We start from the raw sequence: 5,439 nt of genomic DNA on the forward strand, positions 1-5,439 counted from the left end.
CTTGCATATGTGAACTGAAAAATATTGGATGGATATACAGCAATGTGTTATGAGTTATTATTCCCTGGTTGGTGGACTAAAGGTAATTTTATTAGCATTTTTCAAAATTGGTATTATTTATAGTAAACATACACTATGTAATTATAAGAAATAACCTATTTAATCTTAAGAAAAAAGAAAGGAATGTATGTGACCAAAGAAAATGTTTTATGTTGAGAAGGCCATAAAAACTCAGGCATTATGAGATAAATAGGAAATGAAGTCAAAGGTCAAATCTTGAGGCACTGGGAAAGGCCTCATTGCCAGGTAATAAGAAAGAACTACTAAGGATCAGGTTATTTCTCTCTTAGTAACTGCTCTAGACAAGTAAGTAGGGAAGTCTGGTAAAGGGTAGAAAAAGAAGTTCATGTTTGATAAATAGATTTTTATTATTGAAGATCCTGAGGAAAATGTTTAGATTTTCTTCCTTGAAAAAAAAAATGATATGAATGCTTTGCAGTGTTGTCTTAGCAATTTACATCACTTTAAATTAACTCAGCAAGTCATCCTTTGCCCTGTGCAAATCTTCCAGGCGTCCTTTTGTATTTCCTTTGCCCTTTTCTTGGCCCTGTTCTATGTTGTATTGTTCCAATAGGAACCAAAGCAAGGGCCTCCTGAGTCCTCCAGCTTGTTATTTGGCTGATCAGAGGCCTGGCAGGAAAGGGAAGGAAGGCAGAACGTGAGACACAGTGTCCACTCCCCTGGCAGGCTTCCCACCAACTGAGGAAGACCCTGCTTCTCTTCACACAGCATTTTTATGCTTCTTCTCCTTACCCCTTCCAATCTAAGCATGGACATTCAGCCCACCACCAGTTCTGCACTGATCCCTCATGGGTTCCTAACCCTCTGCCCTCACCTTACTAAATAGCCCTTTGATTAAAGTCTCCTCAAATTACCCAGTGTGTAACTAAAAGAGTATAACTGGATTGTTTGTAACACAAAGGATTAATGCTTGAGGGGATGAATACCCCATTCTCTATGATGCGATTATTATGCATTACATGCCTGTATCAAAACATCTCAAGTACCCCATAAATATATACACCTACTATGTACCCACAAAAATTAAAAATTAAAAAAATTTTTAAATAATATAAAGTTACCCAGTGTGGTGGACCATCTGCTTCCTGCAATGCCCTCATCAATACAGATATTAATCTGTAAAACAGATGAACAGGATCTACTGCCCTGTTCTTTGTACAAAATAACTTCATTAAATAATATTTCATCAGCTTCATGATTGCTCGTGGAATGTAAATAGAACAGACCTGCAGCGGACCTTGTCAGTATTCTGCCTGTAACTCTCACATCTCTTTGCTTATGTCTTTCATTTTTATTCTCTGAGGCAGCACGTGCTCTCTTTGTTGGAGGCCTACCTCCATCTGCCAGAACCCTCTGACTACACACAGGAAAAAGCAAACATGCCTAGAAACGTACATATCCCCATCATGACTGATGGTGCAGTTGTAAATACTTCAGCACCCTCATCCCTGATGGGAACAAATCTAAGAAGTGACAGGCCTTATCTCCACATCCTCTTTACTGGATTGAGCCACAGATGTTTTCCATGAAGTCTAACTATATAATGCAAGCTTGTTTGGATTTCTTCCCTTTCCTTCACTTCCTTTCCCATCTCTGTTTCAGGTCCCCGCCCATCTATGTGTTTTTCCTGGATATATTTCCTAATAAACCAACCATGTTCACCCAAATCCTCGTCTCAGGGTCTGCTTCAGAGCAGCCCCAATCGAAGTCAGGAATCATATGACATACATTTGAAAATAGTTTTTTTAACATAAAATGATAGCAAAAATAAAAAATCTCTTATAACCGTTGCAAAAGACTAGACATGTCTAAAAGTAATCCATGTCAGATAAATTTAGTTTTTTGATCAATTGTGATTTAATATAATTAATTTTGGGCCTGGTATCAATTTTCTAAAAAGCACTGCTCTGGGAAAAAGTGAAAGCAAATCCCTTTCTCTGACATATTTTTAATGTTGAGATATTAGATTCTAAGACACAGACTCTATGGACTCTAATGAGATCACATTACCCATTGCTAGTGGGTGTGGCACTGACAGGGATAAGGAGGTAGCATCCTGCTGGCCTTTCAGAGACCTGTGAAGAAAGTAGTAGGTGCTCAGTGAACTAGTTACACTTTGAGAGGTCTTCTGATAATCATTTGTCCACTTCCAGGGGGCTTTCAAACCTGATTCATCTTCAACCTCACCAGGGGAATACAGGCCTCTTTGTAAAATCAGAGTAATGGATGGAAAAGAGACCAAAAAGACACGGTTCATTATCTTCCTATTTCAGCCTTTACTTTGACAAATGAGGTGACCAAGCCCAAGCGTGTAGGAGGTTTACACAAAACCATTCAGCTGGTTAGTGGAAGGGCAGGGACTTAGATCCATGGGTCCAACGTTCTAGCTAAGTGAGTTTCTTCGGCTGATACTACTGATTCCGCTTTTGAATTATTCAAATATCCTTCAAGATTCTGAGAGAAATGCAAATTTAATCTTTCACCACTTTTTTTTCTCAGATAATTATTGCCATTATATCAGAAAGTTAAGTGATGATTTTATCAATTACCAAAGTTGATTGAGGTTGGTTATTTGTGAAGTCATTAGAAAGCTTACCTTATCCGTTATGAACCTGACTTTAAGATGAGGGATGGGGGATGTGGATCACCCTTGTTTTTCTCGCAGAAGGGCTGAGGTGTCACCATCCTACTTCTAGAAAGGGAGCCACGTGTCACCAACAAATCAACAGTATTAAGGAGAACGTTTGACATAAAAAGTCATGTTTTATAACAAAAATGTAGAACATTTATTCAAGTCAACAAAAGAAACAAAATATTGAAACAGTTAATGTCTTCTCTAATCATTTCTTTTTGTTCATTTACAGAGTAGTAACGATTATTTTCTCTGTCTTAATTTCTAAGCAATTTCTCAATTTAGAATGAATTAACTGGAAGAATAGTTCGTTTTTTCTACACATACAGAAGACAGTACAGATGTAAATAACGTTTTCAACAAGATATCCTGATAAATCCGTGGACCTAAATTATTTCCACTGGTACATCATTACTATATTTTTCAACATCTAATAAGCAAACATAAGATCTGAAAACGAGTTCTCCCTGCGTACTTGCATCTATTACAATGAATATTGTGTGTGGTTTGGGTTTTGGCTGAGATAATTGTGAAATATTTACAAAATTCATTCTAAAACGTTTACATGCACGCTAGTGGCTTTTAATTAAAAGTAGGAATACAAAGCACATGATGGTCTCTTCACAGAGAAATGTCAATAAGAAAGTTTAAAGATATTTCATAAATACATTTAAAGGGTATCAAATTATGTTTGCACTTTTGATCAGTTTAAATAGCATACATATCTTAAATATAGGTTTTTAAGTCTTTTGTAAAGCTTCTTTTCTAGGAGAGGAGAGGCCCCTATCAATAGAAGATTTTTAATCATCTATAAATTAAAAAGCAGAAATGTTACACTGTCCTGTAAAAACCTACACGTTCTATTTCTGTAAAATTTGCTTCTACTTACATGCAAAACTAGCATTATTTGTCAGAAGAGATTATGGAAGAAATAATTAATTTTGAGAAAAAACTATTAGTGTGAACAAAATAATGCTACTTAAAAAGCAATTGCTTCATAATTAGAATCATTCTGCACAAATCTAATTCACATTTGTTGTTTTTATTACATGTATACACAAAATTATCTTTGAAATGGACCACTTATCATCTCTTCCAACATTAAGCCAACCAGCAGACTTGAGCCTAATGTGAGAATTCAAACCAAATTCACCTCTCACCAGCTGTGTGACCTGGGGCAGGTTACATAACCCCTCAGTTTTTCTCATCTGTAGAATGGATACGTTAATGAGAGTAATTACATCATAGCATTGCTGTGAGGGTTAAAATGAATCAATATAAAGAAATATTAGGAAGAATGCCTAGCACAGAGTGACATTATATATGTTTTTACTACTATTGTTATTCCCAGTCCATAGGAGGCACTCAGTAAATATCTGTTAAATTAAATGCCTCTGCCAAATAAAACAACACAAAGCAGCCTCGATAAGATAATGTGATACAAATTATTCTCACATTTATTAAATACATAATTTCTAAGACAGAAATTCAGAAACTCTGTTCCAGAAACTGGTATTTACAAGGCCAGGAACCGTTTGTGCAGTGTTATCTGTAGGTCTCTGAGAACACCATATCCCTCCCACAAACTGTTCTAGGGCCCGAAGCCCAACCAATACTCCCTTGGCTAAATCTTTGAAAGTCCTTTTAAAAGGCAATTTTTAAAAAGCAGAAGAGGTGGTGTTACATATTAAAACATAGCCATTTAGGGGCGGGCACAGTGGCTCACGCCTGTAATCCCAGCACTTTGGGAGGCCTAGGCGGGCGGATCAGGAGGTCAGGAAATCGAGACCATCCTGGCTAACACAGTGAAACCCCTTCTCTACTAAAAATACAAAAATTAGCTGGGCGTGGTGGTGCACACCTGTAGTCCCAGCTGCTTGGGAGGCTGAGGCAGGAGAATCACTTGTACCCGGGGCCGGGCGCGGTGGCTCATGCCTGTAATCCCAGCACTTTGGGAGGCCGAGGCGGGCAGATCACGAGGTCAGGAGATCAAGACCATCCTGGCTAACACGGTGAAACCCCGTTTCTACTATAAATGCAAAAAATTAGCCTGGCGTGGTGGCAGGCGCCTGTAATCCCAGCTACTCGGGAGGCTGAGGCAGGAGAATGGCGTGAACCCGGGAGGCAGAGCTTACAGTGAGCCGAGATCTTGCCACTGCACTCCAGCCTGGGCGACAGAGCAAGACTCCATCTCAAAAAAAAGAAAAAAAGTATCACTTGTACCCAGGAGGCGAAGGTTGCAGTGAGACGAGATCAGGCCACTGCACTCCAGCCTGGGTGGCAGAGCAAGACTCCGTCTCAAAAAAAAAAAAAAAAAAAAACACCTAGCCATTTAGAACAAGGTGAGGTATATTTGAATACCTACTGATACTTTAGTCGTACAGTTTATTAGATTAGTCAACTAGTTTTAGACACATTCTGTGGGATGATATCAGTGAAAGAACAAGCATACTAATGGGAGAGTTCTGGAAGGACTCTGTTATAAGGTGGGAGGAATAAATTGCCTGTTTAATTTTTTTCAGAGGCTAGTACACCTCTGTCATCTTAAAATGCCATCAATATTAGTTTAAACAAGAATTTTCAACCTCAGCATGTATGTGGTAGTGTGTCTAGCTTTTGAAGCCACTGACAAAAAGATCTGATAATGTTCCATGTTATGACACTTCCATTATCTCACAAAATACTTTCTTGCTTTAAAAAAAAGAAAAAAAAAGGGGTTCCAGACT

The 5,439-nt window shown here is 38.2% G+C and overlaps 1 long non-coding RNA gene across 1 annotated transcript; it reads right to left on the bottom strand.

Annotated features, from left to right (window-relative positions):
* Window positions 1-409: 409 nt before the first annotated feature.
* LINC00380 (long intergenic non-protein coding RNA 380) lies at window positions 410-4,595 on the bottom strand. The gene is made up of 3 exons (NR_104057.1): window positions 4,575-4,595; window positions 2,678-2,773; window positions 410-690 (listed from the first exon to the last, which is right to left on the bottom strand). It is a non-coding gene; the product is annotated as a long intergenic non-protein coding RNA 380 (long non-coding RNA).
* Between the last annotated feature and the right edge of the window lie 844 nt (window positions 4,596-5,439).

The sequence above is a fragment of the Homo sapiens genome, chromosome 13, assembly GCF_000001405.40.
Source record: "Homo sapiens chromosome 13, GRCh38.p14 Primary Assembly".
Lineage (NCBI taxonomy): Eukaryota > Metazoa > Chordata > Mammalia > Primates > Hominidae > Homo > Homo sapiens.